General features: G+C 38.4%; 1 protein-coding gene and 1 long non-coding RNA gene across 25 annotated transcripts in view, besides 4 other annotated features; one reads left to right on the top strand and one right to left on the bottom strand.

Moving 5' to 3' along the window:
• Positions 1–16452, bottom strand: part of TNPO1 (transportin 1) — a 97728-nt gene extending 81276 nt beyond the window's left edge. For 4 of the 5 annotated variants that reach the window (NM_002270.4, XM_005248501.3, NM_001364295.3 and 1 more), the window contains exon 1: positions 16361–16452. In NM_002270.4, the coding sequence (NP_002261.3) occupies positions 16361–16375 (15 nt within the window). In that variant the 5' untranslated portion in view covers positions 16376–16452. Of the gene's footprint in view, positions 1–16158 lie in introns of all 5 variants that reach the window. The other variant, NM_001364292.3, reaches the window with a different exon arrangement.
• Positions 15676–15725: an enhancer, noted in NCBI's record as "active region_22654". NCBI's record gives its function as "activates an Ori minimal core promoter by ATAC-STARR-seq in GM12878 lymphoblastoid cells {active_cell/tissue: GM12878}" and the evidence as "EXISTENCE:reporter gene assay evidence [ECO:0000049][PMID:35858748]".
• Positions 16186–16405: a silencer, noted in NCBI's record as "silent region_16084". NCBI's record gives its function as "represses an Ori minimal core promoter by ATAC-STARR-seq in GM12878 lymphoblastoid cells {active_cell/tissue: GM12878}" and the evidence as "EXISTENCE:reporter gene assay evidence [ECO:0000049][PMID:35858748]".
• Positions 16446–16545: a silencer, noted in NCBI's record as "silent region_16083". NCBI's record gives its function as "represses an Ori minimal core promoter by ATAC-STARR-seq in GM12878 lymphoblastoid cells {active_cell/tissue: GM12878}" and the evidence as "EXISTENCE:reporter gene assay evidence [ECO:0000049][PMID:35858748]".
• The window catches only part of TNPO1-DT (TNPO1 divergent transcript), a 245434-nt gene continuing 235862 nt past the window's right edge, over positions 16565–26136 (top strand). For all 20 annotated transcript variants that reach the window (NR_186516.1, NR_186514.1, NR_186515.1 and 17 more), the window contains exon 1: positions 16565–16960. This is a non-coding gene — a long non-coding RNA (TNPO1 divergent transcript). The remainder of the gene's footprint in view (positions 16961–26136) is intronic.
• Positions 16806–16885: an enhancer, noted in NCBI's record as "active region_22653". NCBI's record gives its function as "activates an Ori minimal core promoter by ATAC-STARR-seq in GM12878 lymphoblastoid cells {active_cell/tissue: GM12878}" and the evidence as "EXISTENCE:reporter gene assay evidence [ECO:0000049][PMID:35858748]".

Raw genomic sequence — 26136 nt, 5'->3', positions numbered from 1 at the left:
TTTAAGTCATTCATGGATTAGAAATAGAAAGCCATCAGGAAGAAGGCAGTTTTCAGCAGCAGGGAGTTCTCTAGGAATTGCAGGGTTGGTACAATGAAGGCTGATGACTGCCATGGGAATTAATTTCCTTTGATTTGAACACCAATGTAAATCTGAGAGCTGACATGCAAGTCTCTGAAAGGTAGGAAGTCTAATGAATATACCCAGATGGGTGGAGAGTAAACTGAGTGGGAAGAGTAGAGAAAACCCAGAATAAAGTCATCTGCCAATTCAGGTGTACACCTCTTTACGGACAACAGAATTCATTCCCCATCTACTTCTATCCCTCTCCTCTCCTCTCTTCCCCTATCTTTTCCAAATTACACTATTTTGTTTCTGAGCACTGACAATCACTGCCACTGATGCCATCAAGGGAAAAAACACCTCACAATATTCATTTTACTAACACTTTACAACAGGAGAAGATGTAGGGACAGTGGCAATTTACTCTCACTATGATGCTAGCTTTCAGGTAGTACTTGGTTCTCAAGACTCAGACACTCCATATCTCAAAGGACCTACAACATCTCTTAGGCATTTCCAGGAGGTACCACTGTTGACAAATATAGCAGATGAATATCTGCTTTGTATGAACAAGCATAAAAGAGAGCTCCTAAAATATTCCAACAAGAAAGCAATATATTAGTAACTTTTCTGGGAAGCTAATATAGAACGAATAGTAGCACATGAAAGAAAATTCACAGGAGGAAATACAACATTAAACAAACATGAGAAAATGCTGAACCTTACTAGTAATCAAATAAATGTAATAATAAAGTAATGGTTTTAGTCCAATTAGCAAAGATAATTTTGGAATGATAATATCCTATGCTGCTGAGGAGATGATGATTCAACTTTTAACAAATTACTGATGGTAGTGTAAAACTAGTATGACCTATAAGAAATAACTCAACAATCTATATTGAGCCATATACATTTTCATACACTTTGTCCTCATGATTACACTTCTGAGCCTATATCCTAAGAATCCTAAATACACAAAAGAGAGTATTATACTCAAAGATTTTATCCCAGGGTTATTTCTAGTATCAATAGTAAATATATGGCAAATAATATAACCTTCAACTGATGGGGCTATTATGCAACAATCAAAAAAAGAAGGTTAATTTCTGTAATGACGTGAAAAGTATTTATGCTTAAAAAGTGAGAAAAAAAGATAAAATACTTAAGTTACGGTACTTGAACGGTTACGTTTTAGTTACCTAGACAATTAATGTACTTAGAGCAACTTTTTCCCAGATTAAGCTATTAAAATAAGTAGGCATACTATGAAGAAAACACTGAAAACAAAAAATCTTCATAGTTATAAAAAAAATGGATTCAACTTTTGCAAAGCTCAAGCATTATACCAGAAAAATTGTTTAATAATCCAAGAGACTTAGTTTCAGAGAAAGGCTTTCTTGAATATTAGAGAACAGAAGTTTTACTTAGATAACAGGAGTTATTACATATTCTATACTTGTGATTACTGTTCTGATACCTTGTGTATACAAAATAATTTTTAATATGTTAATAATATGAAATTCATGTTGACATTTAAATGCTACAAAATACTAAGTAAAAAATACAGAAACAGTAATAGTACAAAATTTAGAAGAACAAATCCCCAAATTTTATTTTATATCAGACATAATAATACAAGGATCTTTCACTAATTTCCTAATTTTTCAAATGCTGATACAAAATTCTGGAAATATAAGAAAAAACAATATATATAGCTCAAACAATATGTTGAACTAGAAGAACTAAGAAAAAAACCCTACTAAATATGTAAAAGCCAAAAGCAAATGAAAATGAATTTTAGCTTAGAAAAGAGGGCCTATATTCTTCTACAATGGTTCTTGAGACTTCTGCAGAAATAAGTTCTACAGACTGTCTCAATAATCATAACTAAAATATGTTAAGTAAAAAACTAATTCATAATAAAATCTCTACTGCAAAAATAAATAAATCTAAAGTACTTATGTTAGAATCATCAATAAGAGTCTTCTTAATACATTTTTCTGCCGAAGAAAACTAATGTGGTAAGTAAGAAGGGATGGAAAGAACATGAATGCTTACAAATATCTTGACTAACGAGCTAATGGCATAATTCTGCGTGCCTGTTTAGTCTTTAAGGTAGATACCATTCATGACTATACACTTACAAGTGGTAGACCTAAGAGTCTAATTACTATTTCAAAAACACATACTATTTCCATTATGGCAAACTGATTCTTAGAAAAAAACATAAATTCATTTATTATAAACTTGTCCTAAATCCTGGAGGAGGGTTGAGAGACACAAAAAGAAAATCTTTGTCTTGAGTCACATGAAACGATACCTCAATTTAAAAAATAATTTCATGTAGTAACTGATCCATATTATTTACAGTTAATAAAATACATAATCTTCAGTTAACTCTTGGTCATACATTATTATAAGCATACTGTGCATCTTCCAGAAGGAAGGAATGCCAGCTATTAAATCAAAAGCAAACATTTCTTAAGTGCTTGTATGTGCAGGATCTCACAGCTGGAAACTACCAATATAATAATAAAACATCTGAAATGAGAGGATGAACTCAGAAATTCCTAAGATTTCTTAACCTATTAATTTAAATTGTTATTAAATTCAATAATTCGATATGTGGGTAGGCATTTGATGAACTTGCCCAAAAACATTTGAGATGTTCAGGAGTTTGTATTTCCCAGAATCAGAATACAATAATTTTATCTAAAATGACAATTTTGCCCTAGCTGCTGAGCAATTTAAACTCTACGGGAATCACACTCCAGTGAGTGTGTGTATATTCTGCTTTACAAATAAAAATTGCCTGCCACGTACCTAACAAAAGTCTCTAGCCCATTAGGATGTAAGGTTAAAACAAAGCTAGAATTTTTATTAGCACCTTATCCTTTTTATGTCTCATCCTTTTATTTCTCTACTCACTCTTAAGCTTCTCCATCAAATTCCTACATTAAATATTAAACTACTATACCACTCTCTTGATTCAGAGCTTATTATCTATGCTAAAATCAGACTCCAGGAAAATCTCCTACCTTCACAATCCCTTTATGGTTTTATTGTTTCCTACTTGGGCAGGGGTATCAGGCCAAGGGAAGGATGACACAGACACTTAAACTCACAGCCACAACCTGTCTAGAGCTAACAGCCCAGGGTAACTGCATGGGGCTTTAGGACTAACTGCCTTCCTCTAAGGGTGTTTAAGTCTTCAGTGCCAAGAAGAGCCAAAATAACATCAGAAAAAAAGAAGGGGCATCAGGAATCTGGGGCTCTTGTCTCAATTCTCTGCATAAGAACAGCCAGCTGGGAAATCCTACACCAATCACATACTCTCATTTGGTTTAGTTCCTCACCTATAAAGTAACTAAAGACCATGTTCCTTTCAGCTTCTAGAAGTAAAACATTTAGACACCTATAAACAAGGAATAGTCATACTTCACATACAAAAGCTGGCATTACTTCTTATACTTGCTACTGAAATTCTCCAAGCCACTCCTATCCTTGAGGGAAACTTGTATTCAACTCGATTGTTCAACGGTAGTTCTGGGTCTAAGTTACCTGATTGAAAGCTACATGTCACTTGAATCTTTCAGCAAATACTTGGGCTCCTGTGAAAGAGCACAGTACTGTGCCAGCCTTAGGTGACTTCTTGCAGAAGTCATATTCAATAGCAGGAACAATCTTTGGTTGAAAATGTTGGAGACAAATTTTCATCATAACTTGTGCTTCTATCCAACGGAAGTCTTTACTCACTAACCCTCAAAACTGTGTAACAGAAAACTGTGTTCATCACTGAACCAAAAATCCAATGGAGCATTCTAATGCCTATTCTGAAGCACTTGTGGTTCCAATGTTTCACTCTTTAATGCTCTTTTCCTAAATTAAGTCTCACAATATTTTCTAATAAAGGTTTGACATGCAGGATTTTATGAGCTGAAACAAACTCTTTTTGAAAAACTCTTAAACCATGTCCATATAATACTGCCAACTCAACCCTATCACAAAAGAATCCAAGTTGTTTTACCTTTCTAAACAATGAGTACCAATAACTCTGAAAACACATCATTTATTTATGCCAAAGTCTGATAAATTTACATATAAAGTATCTTTACTTTTCTTGCTCTTCCTTCTGTCCTAATGTTTATCAGGATGACATATTAAACTGATCTACCATTATGAAGAGTTATAATACACATCTAGAAATTTTTAAATTATCCTTCTGATATAACGATCATTGCAAATACCTCTCCATCTAAAAAGACATGACAACTAAATATAGCATAAAATCCTAGACACCAGATCAGGTACTGGTAGAAAAAAAATGCTACAAAAGATGTTACTGGGACAACTGGCAAAATTGTAATGTGGGCTGTAAAAAACTAAATATCCTGAATTTGCTCACGTATGCAGTTTCATAAGATAATATCCTGGCTCTCAGGATATGCACATTAAAGTATTAAGGGCTAAAGAGGCACAGATGTATGCAGCCTACTCTCAAATGACCCCCCAAAAATTTGTGTGTGTATGTGTGTGTAGAGACAGCGAGAGAAGCAAACAAATGTAGCAAAATGTTAAAAATTGGTGAATCCATGTAAAGTAAATATGGGAGTTTTCTGAATTATTTGTACTACTTTTCTATAGTTCAAAATTAATTTAAAATAATATCTTTAAAAACCAGCTTAGACTCCGTTCATCCCCCACAACTAAATTTCTCCACTACCCACCATTCACAGAAACATCTTGAAAGTTGTAAATAGTCACTGTCTCCCATTGTACTCCACTCCACTGAGAGATTTCCATGGTGCCAAACCCAACAACTTCTTCTTGGCCTCATCTTAATTTCTTCACAGTGCTCAATGCAGGTGACCACTGTTTCACCTCTTATGGCACCACATCTCACTGGTTCTCCTCGTATCTCACTGGCTGCTCTTTGTCTCCTTCGCTGGCTCCCCTCAATATCCTAGACCCCCTTCTATTCACTATCTATATAATCTCATCAGTCTGCAACATTAAAAGCACCCTGAATTCCAGATTCAAGTATCCAACGTCTGACAAGACATATCTGCTTGTTTGTCAAATGGGCATCTCAAACTTTGCTGGTTGAAAGAAAACTCTTTTTTTTTTTTTTTGGCAGGATCTCCCTCTGTTGCCCAGCCTGGAGTGCAGTGGCATGACCACAGATCACTGCAACCTTGACCTCCCAGCCTCAAGTAATCCTCTCACCTCAGCATCCTGAGTAGCTGGGACTATAGGCACATGCCACCATGCCCAGCTAATTTAAAAAAAAAATTTTTTTGTGGAGACAGGGTCTCCCTATGCTGCCCAGGCTTGAAACAAAACTCTTGATTCCCTTCTCCAACCCATTCCAATCTCCTCCTCCAGTTGCCTAATACCACTAAATACTACTAGTTTTCACTCAGTTGTTCAGGCCAATTATGGAGATCAGAAGCAATGATCCTTATTTCCCTTGATTTCCTTCATATCCCAAATCCTAACCATCAGCCAAGACTCTTAAAATACACCATCAAAATATACTCTGAATTGACCACTTCTCACCCCCTCTGCTGTCTACCCTAGTCCATGGTTTAGGCAGATTTGCTTGCCTCCTCTTTTGTTCCCTTATAACCCATTGTCTGAGACAAAGCAGCAAAAATGATCTGTAATTATTAAATCTGTAATTAAATCATGTATTCCCCCCATCAAAATCTTCCAGTGGTTTCCTATCACACAGATCTTATATCCTCATCACAGCCTGCAAAGCTGTACCTAACATGGGTGCCTGCCCATCTCTCTGAACTTATCACCTAGTAGTCTCTGTCCCCTTTTTCACTATGTTCATCACACTGGTTTTCTTACAGTGCCCAGATCATGCTAAGTTTGTTCCCACCTAAGGGCCTTTACTTTTGCATGCTCTTTCCCCCATATTCACATTGCTCACTCCTTCCCCTCTTTCAGATTGACTGCTGGCCAAATACGACATTTAAGAAAGGCAATGTCCTCTTCCTTTTCTCTCTACCCTACCCTTTACTCTCCATTTCCTCTCACTGCTTTATTTTCTTAATATGTATTTGTTTTTTCTCATCTCTTCATTAAAAAAACTTAATGTAAAACATTAACATGTGACTGTTTCTCATTGCTAAAAAAAAGAAAAGCAAACAATACATATGAAATTCAAGCTCCTTTCAACTATCTCTCTTAATCTCGGTCCCCTCCCCAGAAGTACTTTAGTATGCATTTGGTTATGTATCCTTGTAGCGTTCTTCTCTATGGAATTAAATACACAGGTATCTGTAGAAACAAAAAGTGTTTTAGGCCTGTTCTGTAACAAACTTCAAAATACGCCTTAACTTTCCTAGTCATTATACAGATTTTGTTACTCATTGTGATATATAGGTCTATTGGTGAACATTTAACATAATTACCATTTTGCACCATCACGAACAATTCATTTAACAAATACTTACTAAGTGTCTACTACATTCTAGGCTCTGTATCTGTATCTTGCAGATACAGCAAAAAATAAAACAAAGATCTTGCCCTCTTGGAGCTTGTATTCTTGCAGGAGGAGGAGGACAATAAACAGAATAAAATACATAGTGTAAACTTTTTTTGAAAAGGGACAGAGAGTAAATATTTTAGGCTTTGCAGGCCACATATATATGTCACGTATTTTTTGCTTTGTTTCATAACCGTTTAAAAATGTAAAAACCATTCTTTTGCTTATAGGATGTACAAAAACAGGGCAGAAGCTCATGGAGCTGTGGCTTGCTGACCCCTAATATAGTATGTTAGAAGGTTGTATGTGCTATGCAAAAAATAAAAAGGAGTCCAGGATAAGAGTGGGTGGGGAAGGGCAGGATAGAATATAGTATTAAACAGGGTATTCATAGATGGTAAGATCTGAGCAAAGACTGGGAGGTAAGTCCATTGAGCCAAGCAGATATGTGGAAGAAGTACATTTCAGAGAGTGGAGCCAGCAAGAGTCCTAAAGTAGGAACAGGACAGACATAGCAAGCAGGCCAGTGAGTAAGGGGAGAACAGTGGTAACAGTAAATGAGGTCAGGAAGGTAAGGAGAAAGTGGAGTGGATTGGGCAGATCATGTAGAGCCTCACAGGACCAGCTTTTCTCTGAGTGAATGAAAGGGAATGTCTTAGTCCATTCGGGTTGCTATAACAAAATACCATAAATGAGATAGCTTATAAATGACAGAAATTGATTGCTTACCATTCTGTAGGATGGGAAGTCCAAGAGCAAGGCATATTCAGTATCTGGTGAGGGCTGCTTTCTAGCTCACAGACTTCTTGCTGTGTCCTCAAGAGACAAAGGGCAAGGGATCTCTCTAGAGTTTTGTTTTGTTTTGAGACAGAGTCTCACCCTGTCACCCAGGCTGGAGTGCAGTGGCGTGACCTCAGCTCACTGCAACTTCCGCCTCCTGGGTTCAAGCGATTCTCCTGCCTCAGCCTCCCGAGTAGCTGGGACTACAGGCACGTGCCACCACGCCCGGCTAATTTTTTGTATTTTTAGTAGAGACAGGGTTTCACGGTTTTAGCCAGGATGGTCTCGATCTCCTGACCTCATGATCCGCCCACCTCAGCCTCCCAAAGTGCTGGGATTACGGACATAAGCCACCGCACCTGGCCTCTAGGACTTTTTAAGGGCACCAATCCTATTCATGAGGACTCCACTCCCATTTCCTAATACCTTGGGAGTTAGGATTTCAACAGTTTGGGAGGACACATACATTCAGATCGTAACAGGAGCCATTGCAGGAGAAGTGACAGGGACTGTCTTAATTTGCGAAAGGTTTATTCTGGCTACTGTATTGAGAAAATACTGTTGGAAGGGGATAGGGCAGAAGGGGCAGACCAGGTAGTAACCTATTTCAGTAATCCAACAAGATGTGATGGTAGTGGCTTGGACAAGGGTGGTGGCAGTGGAGGAAGCAGTGAGGCATGATAGGATTTTCGATGTATTTTGACGATACAGAAAACAGATTGTCCTGAAAGAACAGATCTGAAGAGTAAAAGAAAAAGTGAAGTAAAAAAATAAGGCCAAGATTTTGGTCTGAGCTACAGGAGGACGGAGTTGCCACTGACAGAAATGGGAGAGTCTGTGGGTAAAGCAGGCATTGGGGAGAAAGTTTAGGAGTTTAGTTTTGGATATGCTGACTTTGATGTCTATTATTAAACATTTAGGGGAGATGTTGAATAGGTAGTTGCACATGTAAGACTGGAATTGAGGAGGGGGCTAAAGATCTAAATTTGGGTATTGTTGATATTTACATGGTATTTCAAGCCATGAGACTAAATGAGATTACCAATAAAGTGAGCATAGATAGAAACAAATAAACAAACAATTAAGACTTGGGGCTCTCCAACATTAAGAGGTCAGTGAAAATAAAGGAAAAGGAGAATTACAAGGACCAGCACTGAGACAGCAGATAACCAGGAACGTGTGACGTCCTCGAAGGCAAAGAAGAAATGGTTTCAAGGCTAAGGGAAGCAAACAGCTGTGTCAAATGCTGCTGACAGGTCACATAGGATGAGAATCAATAACACAGGGCATTTAACAATATGGGGGCTACTGAAGAACCAGAGGAGCTGTTTCTGTGGGAGTGGTGCAGACAAAGACCTCACTAGAGTGGGTTTAACAGAGTACTAGAGGAGAGAACTTGGCAATAGCAAGTACAGACAACTATTTTGAGAAATACTGCTCCCAAAGGAAACAAAAAATTGGGGTAATGTGGTGAAGTGGGACAAGATTTTTTCCTAAGAGGGGAGAAATAATAGCATATCTGTTTGCTGATAGAAATGATTCAATAAAAAGAACAAAATTGATGATGTGGAAGAAGAGAACCTGAAGCAAAGTCCTTGAGCAGATGAGAGAGAATGGGGCCTAGTACAAAGGCAGACAAGAATATGAACAGTTAATCTAAGGTAACAGGCAGGAAGACAGCCATGTACTGAGCAGATGCTGCGCAGACCCTTTCATAAATAGAGTGCCAGAGGTATGTGGAGTGGTGGCAATCTATGGAAGTTCTGATTACTTCAATTTTCTCAGCAAAGTGGGAAGCAAGGTCATGAGCTGAAGGTGAGGATGGGAAAAGAGATATAGAAGGTTTGGGGAAAATAAGATATGAAATAGTCATTTAGAGGAGTGGAAGAGTAAGCAGACTAGGAAAATACAGTACAACCATCAGGCAGCATTACAGACCCACTTAAGGTTTGTGGCCATGTGTGGTTGTGTGGTTTTTTTTCTGGCCATGCTCAGTTACATAGGGGCAAGTGCAAAAAAAACCCCAGAGTTTGTTTTAACTAGAGCTCTGGTTTTGCCAAACAAGCAAAGAGCAAGGAAAGGGATCCAAAGAAGTAATTAAACTGATTAATCATGAAATTTAGATGAGTAAATTCCACATAAAAGGGAGTGAAAACATCAAGAGGGTAAGGGGCAGGGGAGCAGTAATAGGATCAATGGGTTGGAGATTCCATTGGGGTCAGAAGATGGTTAGGGCTGAGGCACTAGGAGTGAGCTGCAAAAATAGGAAGAAGCGGTAACAGAGCAGAACACATGAAATGGCAACTATGGAGGGACTGCAGTTATTGACAGTGCACGAGGGTATCACTGTGGAATGAGTGGCTGATATAGCATAGATGGGAAGAGCACTGGAAGAGAGGTCTAGGAAGTGAGAGGCCAGGGTTTGGGTGGATCAGTTATGTACATTCTTATCAATTTCAATATAAAGACTGGAGAGTGGGACAGTGGGCCTTTATGACATAATTCAAAACTGAAGATTATAGGGAGAAAGGAGGAAGCATAGTCTGAAAGAAGTAAGAAGACTCATGACAGATATCTTTCCCACCTCTAGAAACAGTGGGAGGAAAGTTACGGAGCAAACAAACAAAAACAGCCACAACTGCACAGTGGAAGAGAGTCCGGTTTCCATTACAGCAAGAAAGTGAAAGCAACATCTAAGAATGGTTCAGACTGGATTTTGCAGATGATGGATAGTTAATTTCACAAAGTACAGTAGAAGGGTATGAAAAGTTGAGAAGAGGTTTAAGAAAAAGCATAGACCCCACTCCAGCCTGGACAAGAGAGCTAGACTGTGTCTCCAAAAAAAAAAAAAAAAAAAAAAAAGTGTAGACCCAGGCCAGGCCGGGCGCAGTGGCTCACACCTGTAATCCCAGCACTTTGGGAAGCCAAGGTGGGCGGATTGCCTGAGGTCAGAAGTTGGAGACACGCCTGCACAGCACAGTGAAACCCCATCTCTACTAAAATACAAAAAATCAGCTGGGCATGGCGATGTGTGCCTGTAGTACCAGCTACTCGGGAGGCTGAGGCAGGAGAATTGCTTGAACCCAGGAGGCAGAGGTTGCAGTGAGCCGAAATCATGCCACTGCACTCCAGCCTGGGCAACAGAGCGAGACTCCATCTCCAAAAAAAAAAAAAAAAAAAGTGTAGAACTTTTTATGAATGGAATGCCAGAGACAAAATGTGAACAGGAAGTCTGGAGTTTCTGTGGTTACTAACAAGGACTAATCCTAGCACACATGACTCCTGATATACTCACGTGTTTCTCTAAGAAATGGAAACTGCTGGGTCAAAGATATTTTTACTTTAAAATAGCCGTACCGATATATTCAATGTTATCCCTACAACCTTCTCAATACATACTAACAAAACTTTTTTCTCTTTGGCCAGTATAATGAGAAAAAAAAAAAAGTCACTGCTTTACTTTGCATTTTTCTGCTGGTGAGGTAAATCATTATTCCATGTTTACCTGCTAGCCATATTTCCTCTTCTGTGGAACTTGCCCACTTAAAAAACTGAGTTGTTTTCCCTTTTAAATCGATGTAGAGTGCTTTAAAAATCTATTTTATTCTGCTCTTAATGATTCATACAAATCAATCTTCTAGATTCGTTTCATATCTTTCAATGGCTCATGATAGGGTGACATAAGGCTCAGTAGGTTCTCTCTCTTCAACATCCCTCTCTACTATATATTAGAGTTTGTCTAATTAAGACCTTAGTCAAATCTGGCCATACCATTGGTTTCATAACTGTTTTTGCACTACAGTGGTAGAGATGGTATGGCCCACAAAGCAGAAAATATTTGCTACCTGGCCCTTTACAGAAAGTTTGTGGACCCCTGCTATATACCTTTCAGGGCCCCTGAACCGCTTAAGAGTTCCAAGAACACAGCAGATCTTTATGTTTACTGACACACTCACTGAAATGCTGTTCCTAGTTCCCAAAATGCTCCAGACATTCCCCCTAATCTATTCAACGAATCTATTACTGGCCTTTCTTGGTGTTTTTACAGATTTATATCACAAAAGCTGTAAATACACTTATTGAACTTGTTTATTTACATATCTCTTTCTCCACTAGTATGTAAATCTCTCGACAAGAGATAATCCCAGCACTAATAAATGGCACAAAAGTCCTTCATGGTTTGCTAGCTCTCTCATCATTTCCTAGTTCTGCTATGCTCCAGTCAAAATATATATTTAATTTCATTAAATATTTTTCAAAAACACAATTTCAAATGGTAGCATAATAATCAATAGTTCTGTACTTTTATATTCTTATCTTTAAAATCTTGTTGGATACCACCTATTCCTAATAATTTATTTGCATTTATTTAGTATATTCATGATTTGCTGAAATACTTCTCTTCCTTAATTCCTTTCTTAGTAAAAACAAAAGTGGTGGAATCTTATCCTTCCTAGCATTAACTTTTTCATTTGTGGTAGAAACATATGCATCTAGGATAAAGGGGCTCCACTAATAAATTATTTTACTAATGGCTTCGGAGTCATCTATAAAATGCAACTCAAATATGAATTTTTCTCTAATTTTCAGTATAAATTTAACTTCCTACACCTTGTAGGCAGTTCTATTCTCCTTATGTGAAACACATATTTTTTTGCTTGTTTCCCCAGTAAAACCTTCATTTACTTTACCAGGAGTTTTACTAAACGTATATTTCAATTTTAGCACTTACGGGCCTTTTCATTTCTCTTATTCCCCAAATTTAATCAAATTTGAGATTTCTTTGGTTTTCTCTCACCTATTTGTGTTAAGATCATTAAGAATTGCACCCACAGATATTTGGTGCATTCACTTTAGAACCCGGTTTTATATAGTTGTTACCAATTATATCTCATCCAGGTAAAGATTTTCTTTTTCTAAAATGTGGAAAGTTAAGCCCTGTCTTGTTTAACTTTGCAACTTACCCATTCATTATTCCCAGCTCAGTTTAGCTATCTTAAAAATGTGGTCTGTGATCTATAGTTAGTTATAGTATAAAATTCTGAATATGTATATGATATAAAAGTATACAAATAAAACAGCATGATGAGCTTTGCAGTCAAGCAGATCTAGATTCAGATTCAGGCTCGAACGCTCTGAGCCCTTGGACAAAGTACTTACCTATTTACACTTTGTTTTCTCATCAGTAAAATAGAAGTAACTTCCATGTATAACACAGAGCCAACATAATAAATGAGAAAAATGTACATGAAAGTGACAATGTATGTTAAATGCCTACAAATGATGTCTAGTACATTACAAGGAAAACGTTAATCCACTCTCTATTCCTCCAATCCCAAAGCAACAGGAACAATACTGTGTAGTCTCAATTTATTATATTAATAAGTTCATTATTAAATTCCCTTAAGTAAAAGCAATTTGCAGTATGGACCATGAGCTTTGGATGTTTACTTTGACTCAGTATTTTTGCTTTGGGGACTCTAAATAATCCAGAATGCAGAAATTGATTTTTGTATGAGGATGTTCATTGCAGTGTTTCTTATAACTGCAAAAAAATTAGAAACTGTTTAATAATGAGAAATCCACACAAACATGCAAACATTAAATATGGTGACAAAATAATTAAGTAGCATAAGAAAATGCTTATGGTGAGAATACAAAATTACTCACATAGTAAAGTCTCAACTGTGAAAAAAATCCAATAAACTCAGAAAAAAACATTGGAAGGAAATGCGCAAAAGGGCTTACAGTAGTTACTACGTAGTACTGATATTTGTAATTTTTATTTTATGGTTTTCTATAGTTTTCTGAAATAATTAACAGTGATAATGACATTGATGATAACAGCAGTTATTATTTATAGAAAAGTTAATACATGTCAGGCCCAGTTTTAAGAGCTTAGTGTATTAACTCATTTAATCCTCATAACATAAGATGAAAAAGTGAGATTAAATAACTTGCCCAAGGTCACACAGATAATTACAGAAGGTGCCAAAATCTGAATCCAAATAGTGTGGCTCCAAAGCGCCTGTTCTCTACACTACATTGAAAAGTTTTGCTTTGTTTTAAAAATTTAACCATTAAAAAGGCATATATCAATCCCAACTTTATGGTCTCACGGTTATCAGCTTTTTTTCAGTACTGAGTTGTAATATTCGCTCTGGCATGGAGTGTCTTTTTGGATTAAGATGTAGCCACTATTCCTATATGTATTCTATCTACTCCAGAAAATTCCAGGACAAATCCACCTCCCTATTTCCCATTTCAATATCTCATTTGACCATTCAGACTCTAGAACTCTAATATTCCTACTTACTACAGCAACTTACAGTACTTCAAAGGACCCTTCAAAGCAACCCAATCAAACTTGCTTTTGAAAACCTCTCCTAACTAACATCCACGCATACAACTACAAATCAGTTACCACTTGCTGTGGTTTGAATATGGTGTGTCTGTCTCCATCAAAATTCATGTTGAAATCTGATCATGATCTGGTGGACATGATTTAGTTCCCTGAGGGTGAGTTGTTAGAAAGCCAGGCCCTTCCCTCAGATTTCCCCCTCTTTGCCTGGGGTGGCTTCCCCTTTGACCTTCTCTAGCAGGTTATGATGCAGCACAACAAGCTGACCAGATGGCGGCGCCTTGCTTCTTATACTTCCCAGCCTGCAGAACCGTGAGCTAAATAATAAACCTCTTCTCTTTATAAATGACCCAGTCTCAGGTATTCTTTTACAGCAACACAATACGGATTAAGGCACCACTCTTGCAAACATCTGTCTTCCATTGTGAAGCTCATCCCTTGTACAACCCAGAAGACTCCTTCACCTGCCAACACTCAACAGATTTACCATGGCAATGGCTGAATAGGGTCAACTAAGAAAAATCCTCAACCTCCAGGGGAATTTCACTGTTTCTGATCCTTCCTCTTTGAGGATGGCATTGTTCGCCATTGTTTTTGAAAACCTCATCAGTTTCTTTGATTCTCTCAGCTTTCTCATCCTTTTGCTGGTAAACCAAACTGTTTTGAGGGGGGAAGATATCTTTTTAGCACCAATATGTATTCAAATATCAATCTCAGGAAAAAATATCACAATTTATACCCTGGCCAATAAAAAGAACTCCCCCACTTACTGCTGTGCTCCTCTCTGCAGTTTATATTTGATAAATTCATTTATTTCATTACCTATGTCACTTGGTTTGACGTCACTTTATAACCAGGTTTCTTTTCTTAAAAAAACATTTGCAGAATCCAACATGGTTAAAATTCAAGAAATTCTTCTAAATACAGATGTTTACATTTCAATGTAGTAGCTCATTTACAACATTTAGAAAAACTGAGTTCATGGAATGGCTTTAAAATTATAAATAAGCAAAACTACAGTCATAAAAACAATGAATACAATAAGAAATGTTGATATTGGAAAAGCTTACAACTAGAATCATGTATTTTTACAAAAATCTTATTCTGCTCACATTATATAATGGTAATAAAGCCACTGAGAGTTGAGGTAGAAGTGCAAACAAGATTTTTATAGATATTTCAGTGGGAGGAATTTAATAATTCCTGACTAGGAGAAAGATGCAGCCACATCAAGGGTGGCGGCCCCTTTTAGGAAAAAGAAAACAGAACACTAGTACTTCATTAGGCTCACGTTAAATTGCATGAAGTAAAAATCGTACTGCCAAGCTAGTATAAATTTATGCACTGCATAGCTAGAGACTAAAAAAGATATCTGCACCTACAAACTATTGTTTCCCTTTTGTGGTTGCTAATTTTCATCCTGGCACAGCCTTCTCTAGGAACAACTACGGTGCCAGGTAAGGTGAAAGTGGAAAACAGATCCTTTCCCAAAAAACGGAACTTTCCCCTTTTCCACTAAACATAGCTTCTTCACCACTCTAACATGAAAGCTTTGATATAACAGGGAAACTTAAAAAGCTGCAGGAACTTTTGTTATTCTAAAAGTGAGTAGTACGTCAGGACAGCCATTTTACAACCTTCATTTCCAAACACCTATTACACCATACATCTTGCAATTTTAAAAGTATCTTTTCTTTAGGGTAAAAAAAGTACCACTTACACATTCATCATTTAAGTCATTACTGTTTCAAAGGACAGTTATTAAGCTTCTTAATACAGCTGTCAAAATCAATTTGTAGATAGCCTCCAATTTCAAATTTCTACATTTACATCTACTGATAGACCATCCTGATTAGCGATTAAGATAACAGACTTAAACTCTAAGCAATCCTTGCAAAATCCAGTTGATTTTTAAAATCAGTAAGCAACACGCGATCATTTTTAAAGAAAGTCATTCCGAAAATAGCTTGATTGTGGTGGCCAATCTGCTCCTCAGCAGCTGTTCCCTGTTGCTTGTACGCATGGGAGTGGAGGTAGAAGGGCAAAACCCACAAGCCCACGCAAAACTCGTACAGTCACAAACATTATGTAAACATGTCGTGAGGCCAAGAGGCCCCAAGGAGAAAGAACCGCCGGGAGGAAGAGAACGGCAAGCTGCATGTAAGGACGATGGGCGCTGTGTGCGGACGCAGGAGACCCGGGCAGAGGGGCCCAGGGCGGGACAAAGACTGGCCCATCTCGGGCAGCGCCGGCCAGCGCCCAGAACCAGTGAAAGGCAGCCGTCCCGGGGCAGCCGACTGCAGCACTCAAGGGCCCTCAAACGCCACAGCTTAACAGGCGAGGCAAACGCTCCCCTGAATGTAAGACCCTTCCCTTCCCGCCCCTTGTAACGGGCTCCTGCCGCCCCTAACGGGATCCTCGGACGCTTGAGGAGCCGCCGTCGCCTGCTCCCTACCCGGGTCCCGCAGGGCGCCTGGGCGGGCAGCTGTTGGGGTTAGAACCGCGCCGCCGCTGCCTCTCGGCTTCAAACGGCCGGGCAGGCGCCGAGAGAGCGGGCGAGCCCGGCGTCTCTCCCGTAGGCGCGTCAGGCAGCTCGGCGCTCCCAGCCTCCGTTCCCGCCCCTGCAGTTCGGGGCCGCGCACCCTCACGCCACCTACCCGGTCCCACACCATCCCAGACGCCTCGGGCGCTCGGGCCTTCGGCCGAAGCGGCACTGCCTCCTGTCCGGGGCCTGAAATGGCTGCGGAACAAAGAGAATCTGGGCTTCACCGAGCGCCGGTCCGATTGGCCGGGGGGCGGAGCCCGCGGCGGGAACATTCGGCGGCGGTCGCCTTGGCAACGGCGGCGGGGCTAGGAAAATTGCTGCCTGGGTCGGCTGGGCCTGTGGGCCTGCGTCCGACAGCGCGCGGCCGTGCTTTCTAAGCGGGCTCGGCAGCACCAGACTTCACCGGCCCGGCGCGGGGCTCACAAGTGCTCGCACTCCCTGCGGCCGGCGCGCTGACCGGAGCCTCTGGGTCTCGCACGCAGCAGCTGCAGACGCTGCCCGGCGCGGTGGGGCTGTGAGCAAAACGGCCCGCCGGTGTGGTTGCCCAGACTGTGCTGGGCCCTCCTAGGTGGATGGCCCTGCCCCAGCCTAACTTCTGTACCCCAGCATAACCTCCAAAGTAACAGCCGTGCCCTGGGAGCCTGTTCAACACTGAACATATCCCACAATAACACTGTTCCAGCGTCGCTGGTAAAAAGCAGAAATGGCTTCGGTAGGTAGACGCCGGTGGATGGCTGCCCGCTTAGAACAAGATAGGCTTTTGACGTATGTTGTATCTGGCGTATAAACTACTATGTAATTAGAATTCAGTGATTTATAAAATGTTTACGCCTCCAGGTGTTCAATCCTATAAAACTGTAGTTTCTTGCTCTTAGAAATAACAAGCCTTTCTCTCCCTAACCTGCCATCATGAGAAATTAAAATGTCCTGTATTTTCTGTACGGCAAATGATTCAAAATGGGAGTGGTGGACGTTTTTATACCCAACTGCAACAAGGGTAATGAGATAAATATCAGTTTCCTTCCCTCAGATTATTCTTATATGTAAAATTTACTGTATAAAAATACTTAAAATTTGCATAGCTAGCTGATTTTTATTTTCTAAGGTGATGATGCCCGTGATAATATTCCTCACATGATCAGTGTGAGTAGAAATACCAGCAGTTCCGACTATCTTACTGGAAGTGCTGTATATATTTTGAAAATGTGTGACAGTTGTTGCCTTCCTGTCATAGTTTAGGTAAAATTACAGTACATAATACTAGAAAATGTCTAAATTTTTACTAAGGTAATTTATTTGTTCTTCTAAACGTGTTAACAATTTTCATTTGAATTACAGTCATTTTGCAGGAACAACTAGTTTATTTAACTTAAAATTTGAGACTAAAAGTACCATTTTTTAATCATTGGGAAATTGAACTTAGCAAGGGAAAATATAGATAACTAAAATATTCATGATTTCAACATGTTATAATATTAATTTGATAGTAATTGGATACAGTAGTGTATATCAAAAAGAGCCCCCCCCCCCAAATAGGAGTAGATTACCAAGAAAAAAATGTAATATAAACTTTTCTGAATGGTAGTTTATCTGCAGGAAAATATACCCAGAAAAAGTATATTTATCCAAATAACAAATGGCTTATTTCTGCATTTGAAAAGTTACATCGTGGACTAGGATCTATACAAATCAGAAGATGTGTAGTATTTGCATTCTACTTTGCTAAAGGAAAAAACACAAATATTTCTAAAATCCAAAAGATTAGCAAATAATGACAGATGTAAATACTACTGACTAAGCAATTAGTAGGAGTTCACTTGATTAATAGTTTGGAAATAGCTGAAATGAATTGAAGAAAAAGTAACATATTATTTAGCATAAGAGGATTTATTGGCCAAAACATTTTGAAAGAAAAAAATGTTGATTATCAGATGTTGTAAAATTGAGATTAAGCAAATTAAATATGTATTCTTTTGTAAAAATTAAAGTGAATGAAAATACTAATATAAAATAGTTCTGTTGAATAGAGATTCTTACACATGTAGCCTTTTTGTCTCTTCTAGGTCAAATTAAAAAAACATGTTTTAAACAGTAAATCTTATTAACAAGGATTTATTAACATGGCTTATTTTATTTTTCTTTGACAGTTTGCACATATAATAGCAGCTATCCAGTAGTATTTTCTCTTTATACCTAAATATGCTCATGTGGTAAAACTTTGAAGAATTATTAATAATTTTTAAATGACAAAAATGAAGTTAAAATTTATAAACTTTGTTTTTACCTTTAAAACATAGATATATTTAAAATTTCTGTATTAATTTTATTTTCTTAGGTGAAAAATTTACCAAGATAAAAATAAAAACATGTTAGAAGTTACAAAATAGCATCTGAGGGAGAAAACATACCTATAAGCTTTCACCTAGGAATGACAAGATGCTTATTTTGTCAGGTGTAGCATTGTTAAAACAAGTGTGGAGCTTGCAGGCAGAGGACCTATATGCAGATGCTGGCTTTACCATTTATGAATGCTTTTGGCTCAGTCTTTCTGAGCTTCACTTTCTTTTGTCTGAAACAAGATTAAGTAAGATAAGTTACATAAAGAACTCATTAGCAGAGTGCAGGGCAGGTTGTTAGAGGGCAATGAATGAAAGTATTACTAGACATTAATATAAATCAAAGATGTTTGAGAAGGAGGAATATTATTGAAAAAGTAAGTCTGGAAATTCAAAAATTGTTAAATAAATGTCTTTAATAGGCAATTGTTGGTGAGTATATGGAAACCTAGTAAGATAAGTAATTTTTTATATACAGGCAAGCTTCTAAAATAGAATAAGCCTGGGCGCAGTGGCTCACGCCTGTAATCCCAGCACTTTGGGAGGCCGAGATGGGCGGATTACCTGAGGTCAGGAGTTTGAGGCCAGCCTGGCCAACATGGTGAAACCTCGTCTCTACTAAAAATACAAAAATTAGCTGGGCATGGTGGCGGGCACCTGTAATTCTAGCTACTCAGCAGGCTGAGGCAGGAGAATTGCTTGAACCTGGGAGGCAGAGGTTGCGGTGAGCCAAGATCAGGCCATTCATTTGCACTCCAGCCTGGGTGACAGAGGAAGACTTCGTCTCAAAAATAAATGAAAAAATAAAAATAAACAAATAAAATAGAATAGGATCTTCTAAAATATTGTCACCATTTATACTTCTGGAAGACAATTATTTCACATTAGGTAGTTTAAAGAATTGCCTTACACTGAAACATCTTCAGGTTGACATTATGAAAAAAAGTTTCAGTAATTATTTGGAAGAATTTAATTAAAATATTGAAGAGGACAATTGTAGTCAATATTCAGAAATGTGTAAATAATCTACAGGCATTTCTCATTTAAAGTAAACCCAATATATAAAGTTTGAATTCTTAAAAATATAAATTAGGGAGTTATTAACTGGGAAAAATTAACTTCAAATCTCCTTTAAGTATTAATATGTCCTAGTGATTATAATATGATTCTGCTTATAAAAAGGTCTACTTAGATTTCCACTTTTGGGAAGTTGGAATAGATATGCTTGTCCCTATTCCTCCCACTAAGTATAATTAAAACTTCTGAACATTATGTATAAAACAAACATAAAGGTCTCCAAATGGTGGAAAGAAGACAGATCAACTAGAGACCTTGGAACCCAAGGAACAACATGATGGTTAATTGCCTGTGTTTTCTTTTTGCTTTAGAGTCTTTAGAGACTTGAAACTTTACACATCAGCAACCTAGAAACACCAATGGCACAGACTAAAAAGGCCCCATCAAAACACTGCTCCAGCTGAAGGGCCAGAAAAGGAGTATGGCAGACAGAAAACTTTTTGACAATAATTGCATACTCTAGGCAAAACTACAGACAGAATTGTGACCCCATCCTACTCATGTCAGCAAAGTCCTAGTGGATAGCCTAGATCCCCACCCTCACCAGACTATTAGGTAGTTTAAAGAATTGCCTTACACTGAAACATCTTCAGGTTAGCATTATGGAAAAATATTTAAATAATTATTTAGAGGTGCCCTAAGCCCTCCTTCCCAGGGTGGTGTCAGAGAAGGTCAAATAAAGAACCAGTACTTTCATCATCACAAGCCAGTAACAAGGAGTCTCCCATCCTGGGTGTCAGTGGAGGCCAAATGAGGAACTTGGATGTCTCCTCCAACTTGGCAACAATGAGGTGGTGCCTGTTCCCCATACCCACTTCCCCTGCCAGTACCATGTTAGAAAAAGCCAGCTAAAAGAGATTTTCATAAGATTCAAAACCTCATAAATATCCCATACGTCCAGGTTTTATGAAAATCACTCATTATATCATGAACTAGGAAGATCTCAAACTGTATGAAAAAAGACCATTAATAAATGACAAAACCAAGAAGACAAAGATGTTAGAATTATCTGACAAAGATGTTAAAGCAGACATCATAAAAATGCTTCAGTGAGCAACTACAAAAACACTTGAAACAAATGAAAAAAATAGAAAGTCTCATTAAATAAGCAGAAGACATAAAGAAAAACCAAATGGAAATTTTAGAACTGAGAAATACAATAATCAAAATAAAAAACTAAATGAATTGAGTAACAGAACGAAGGAGACAAAGGAATGAATCAAGGAACTTGAAGACAGAACAACAGAAATTATCCACTCTAAAAAAGAGATAAAATAGACTAAAAAGAACAGAGTCTCATGGAACTAAGTGACTACAACAAAAGATGTAACATTCATGAAATCAGAGTCCTAGAGGGAGAAAAGAAAAAGGGTGAGGCTAAAAATACTCAAATAAATAATGTCTGAAAACTTCTGAAATTTGGTGAAAGAGATAAACCTACAGATTCAAGAAGCTGAGTGAATTTTCAACAAAGGAGCCAAAACAGTTAAATGGGAAGAAGGTAGTTATTTTTTAACAAATAGTGCTGAAACAACAGGGTATCCACATGTAAAAGAACAAAATTGGACGTCTGCTTCACACTGTATACAAAAATTAACTTAAAATGGATCATAGAACAAAATATAAGCACTAAAACTATAAAATTATCAGAAGTAAACATGGAATTAAATTTTTGTGACCTGGAGTTAGGAAAAGACCTCCTACATATGACACCAAAAACGCAAGCAATAAAAGAAAAAGTAAACAGGTTGGATTTCATCAAAATTTCAAACTTTCATGCTTCAAATGGCACCACCAAGAAAGAAAATGAAAAGACAGCACACAGAATGGGAGAAAATATTTGCAAATTACATATCCAATAAGAGATTTATATTTAGTATAGATAAAAAACTCTTACACCTCAATAATAAAAAACAACCTAATTAAAAATGGAGAAAGGATCTGTATAGACATTTCTTCAAATAAGATATACAAATGACCAATAGGCTTATGAGAAGAAGCTCAAGATCATTAGCTATTAGGGAAATGCAAATCAAAACAAGGAGATACCACTTCACACTCATTAGAGTATCTATAATATGAAGTACAGATAACAAGTATTGGGGAGGATATGGAGGAATTGGAACCCCTGTACATTGCTGGTGGGAATGTAAAATGCTATAGCTGCTCTGGAAAACACTGTGGCAGTTCCTCAAACAATTAAATATAGAGTTACCCTATGACTCAGGAATTCTACTCCAAATAAAAATGAAAACATATGTCTACACAAAAAGTGGTACAAAAAGCAGGATTATTTGTAATTATTTGTAATGTCCAAAAAGTGGAACAACTCAAATGTCCATCAATTGATTAATGAATAAACAAAATATAGTATATATATACAATGGACTATTAATTGATACTAAAAAGGAATAAAGTGCTAATACATGCTACAGTATGAATCAACCTTGAAAGCATTATGCTTTCTTTAAGTGAAAGAAGCCAGTTACAAAAGCCACATGTTACATGATTATGTGAAAGTCTAAAATAAGCAGATATATAGAGACAAAGCATATTAGTGGTTTCCAAGGGTCAAGGAGGGAAATAGTGATTACTAATAAGTATAGGGTTTCTTTTCTAGGTGATTAAAGTGTTCTAAAGTTAGATAGTGGAGGTTACATAATGTTGTGAATCTAAAAACCACTGAATTATAAACTTTAAAAGGGTGAGTTTTATGGTTAAAAATTATATCTCAATAAAGCTGTTACTAAAAAAAAGACAAATGAAACCTAATAGGATAAACTCAAAGAGAGTCATGCCAGGATATATCATTCAACTTTTGAAAACTAAGAACATAGAAAAAATTGTTAAAAGCAGAGAGCAAGAAATGACACCTTACTTGTAAGGGAAAAGCAATTTGAATGACAGTGGATCTTACATCAGAAACCATGGACTCCATAAGGAAGTGACACAACATCTTTCAAGTGTTGAGAGGAAAAAATTGTCAACCCAAATCCAATATCCAGCAAAAATATCCTTTAGGAATGGAGGGGAAATCATGACATTCTCAGATGAAGGGAAACTAAGAGATTTTGTCACTAGCAGTTTTTTTTCTAAAAGCATGGCTACAGAAAGGAAATTATGAAAGAAAGAATATTGGAACATTAAGAACCAAGAAAACACTAAGTAAAAATATGAGTAAATATAATAGGCTTCCCTTCTCCTCTTGAGTTTTCTAAATTATATTTGAAGGTTAAAGCAGAAATTTTAACATCTGATTTGGTAGAGAGAATACTTGAGCAATCATATTATAAAAGGAAAAAGGTAAGGAGCTATAAAGGGAAATAAGGTTTCTACACTTCACTTGAACTGGCAAAATTACACCACAAGTACACTAGGATAGGTTTGATATCGATATTGACTTAGTCTGCTTATGCTGTTATATCACAGTACCTGAGACTGAGTAATTTAGAATAAACTGAAATTTATTTTCTCACAGTTCTGGAAACTGGGAAGTCCTAGATCAAGGCATTGGCATCTGGTATCTGCTGAGGACCATCTTGTTGCATGAAGCCTCTTTCATAAGGGCCTTAATAACATTAATGAGGAAGAACTTTCATGACTTAATTACCTCTTAAAGACTTTACTACCTAATACCGTCACATTGGCAACGCCTGAATTTTGGAAGGGACACATTTAAACCATAGCAAATATATGAAAAAATTTAAGTTATAAAAATATGTATACTTTTAATACCTAAAGCAACTAGTGAAAAAGAAATAGATACACTCAAAAACAAAAATTAATATGGAATTCTAAAAAGTAACCCACCGGAAGTAACCCACAAGAAGATAAGGAAAAGAAAACAGAGAAATGAACAACAGAGAGAATAGACAGAAAACAAAATACAAAATAACTGACTTAAGCTCTAACATATCTGTAATTACATTCAACATAAATGGAATAAAGGATTGTTGGAGGTGGGTGGCAAGATGGCTGAATAGGAACAGCTCCAGTCTGCAGCTCCCAGTGAGATCAATGCAGAAGGGTGAGTGATTTCTGCATTTCCACCTGAGGTACTTGGCTCATCTCATTGGGACTGGTTAGATAGTGGGTTCAGCCCACGGAGGGCGAGTCGAAGCAGGGTGGGGTGTTACCTCACCCGGGAAGCACAGCGGGTCGGGGAACTCCCTCCCCTAGTCAAGGGAAGCCGTGAGGGACTGTGCCATGAGGAATGGTGCATTCTGGCCCAGATACTATGCTTTTCCCACAGTCTTTGCAACCTGCAGACCAGGAGATTCCCTTGGGTCTCTACTCCACCAGGGCCCTGGGTTTCATGCATAAAACTGGGCAGCCATTTGGGCAGACACAGAGCTAGCTGCAGGAGTTTTTTTTCATACCTCAGTGGCGCCTGGAACGCCAGCAAGACAGAAGCGTGCACTCCCCTGGAAAGGGGGCTGAAGCCAGGGAGTCAAGTGGTCCAGCTCAGTGGATCCCACCCCCACAGAACCCAGAAAGCTAATACCCACTGGCTTGAAACTTTGCTGCCAGCACAGCAGTCTGAAGTTGACCTGGGATGCTCAAGCTTGCTGGGGGGAGGAGTATCTGCCATTACTGAGGCTTGAGTACACGGTTTTCCCCTCACAGTGTAAACAAAGCCTCCGGGGAGGTTCGAACTCAGTGGAGCCTACCAAAGCTTGGCAAAGCCGCTGTAGCCAGACTGTCTCTCTAGATTCCTCCTCTCTGGGCAGGGCATCTATGAAAGAAAGGCAGTAGCCCCAGTCAGGGGCTTATAGATAAAACTCCCATCTCCCTGGGACAGAGCACCTGGGGGAAGGGGCGGCTGTGGGTGCAGCTTTAGCAGACTTAAACCTTCCTGCCTGCCAGCTCTGAAGAGAGGAGTGGATCTTTCAGCACAGTGCTTGAGCTCTGCTACGGGACAGACTGCCTCCTCAAGTGGGTTCCTGACCCTCCTGCCTCTTGACTGGGGGACATCTCCCAGCAGGGGTCAACAGACACCTCATGCAGGAGAGCTCTGGCTGGCATATGGCAGGTGCCCCTCTGGGATGAAGCTTCCAGAGGAAGGAAAAGGCAGCAATCTTTGCTGTTCTGCAGTCTCTGCTGGTGATACCCAGGCACACAGAATCTGGAGTGGACTTCCAGCAAACTCCAGCAAACCTGCAGCAGAGGGGCCTGACTGTAACAAACAGAAAGAAATAGCATCAACATCAAGAAAAAGGAGGTCCACACAAAAACCCCATCTGAAGGTCACCAACATCAAAGACCAAAGGTAGATAAATCCACAAAGGTGAGGAAAAACCAGCGCAAAAGCCTGAAAATTCCAAAAATCAGAATGCTTCTTCTCTTCCAAAGGATCACACCTCCTTGCCAGCAAGGGAACAAAACTGGACACAGAATGAATTTGACAAATTGAACAGAAGTAGGCTTCAGAGGGTGGGTAATAACAAACTCCTCTGAGCTAAAGGAGCATGTTCTAATCCAATGCAAGGAAGCTAAGAACCTTGAAAAAAGGTTAGACGAATTGCTAACTAGAATAACCAGTTTAGAGAAGAACATAAATTACCTGATGGAGCTGAAAAACACAGCATGAGAACTTCGTGAAGCGTACACAAGTATCAATAGCCGAATCAATCAAGCAGAAGAAAGGCTATCAAAGATTGAAGATCAACTTAATGAAATAAAGTGTGAAGACAAGATTAGAGAAAAAAAAATGAAAAGTAATGAACAAAGCCTCCAAGAAATGTGGGACTATGTGAAAAGACCAAACCTACATTTGATTGGTGTACCTGGAAGTGACAGGGAGAATGGAACCAAGCTGGAAAACACTCTTCAGGATATTATCCAGGAGAACTTCCCCAGCCTAGCAAGACAGGCCAACATTCAAATTCAGGAAATACAGAGAACAGAGAACACCATGAAGATACTCCTCAAGAAGAGCAACCCCAAGACACTTAATTGTCGGATTCACTAAGGTTGAAATGAAGGTAAAAATGTTAAGGGCAGCCAGAGAGAAAGGTCAGGTTACCCCCAAAGGGAAGCCCATCAGACTAACAGTGGACCTCTCTGCAGAAACCCTACAAGCCAGAAGAGACTGGAGACTAATATTCAACATTCTTAAAGAAAAGAATTTTCAACCCAGAATTTCATATCCAGCCAAACTAAGCTTCATAAGCAAAGGAGAAATAAAATCCTTTACAGACAAGCAAATGCTGAGAGATTTTGTCACCACCAGGCCTACCTTACAAGAACTCCTGAAAGAAGCACTAAATATGGAAAGGAACAACTGGTACCAGCCACTGCAAAAACATACCAAATTGTAAAGACTATCAACACTATGAAGAAACTGCATCAACTTACAGGCAAAATAAACAGCTAGCATCATAATGACAGGATCAAATTCACACATAACAATATTAACCTTAAATGTAAACGGGCTAACTGCCCCAATTAAAAGACGCAGACTGGCAAATTGGAT

This window comes from Homo sapiens, chromosome 5 (genome assembly GCF_000001405.40).
Source record: "Homo sapiens chromosome 5, GRCh38.p14 Primary Assembly".
NCBI lineage: Eukaryota > Metazoa > Chordata > Mammalia > Primates > Hominidae > Homo > Homo sapiens.
The sequence above is the reverse complement of the archived record's forward strand: the minus strand, read 5'-3'. Positions and strand labels throughout refer to the sequence as shown.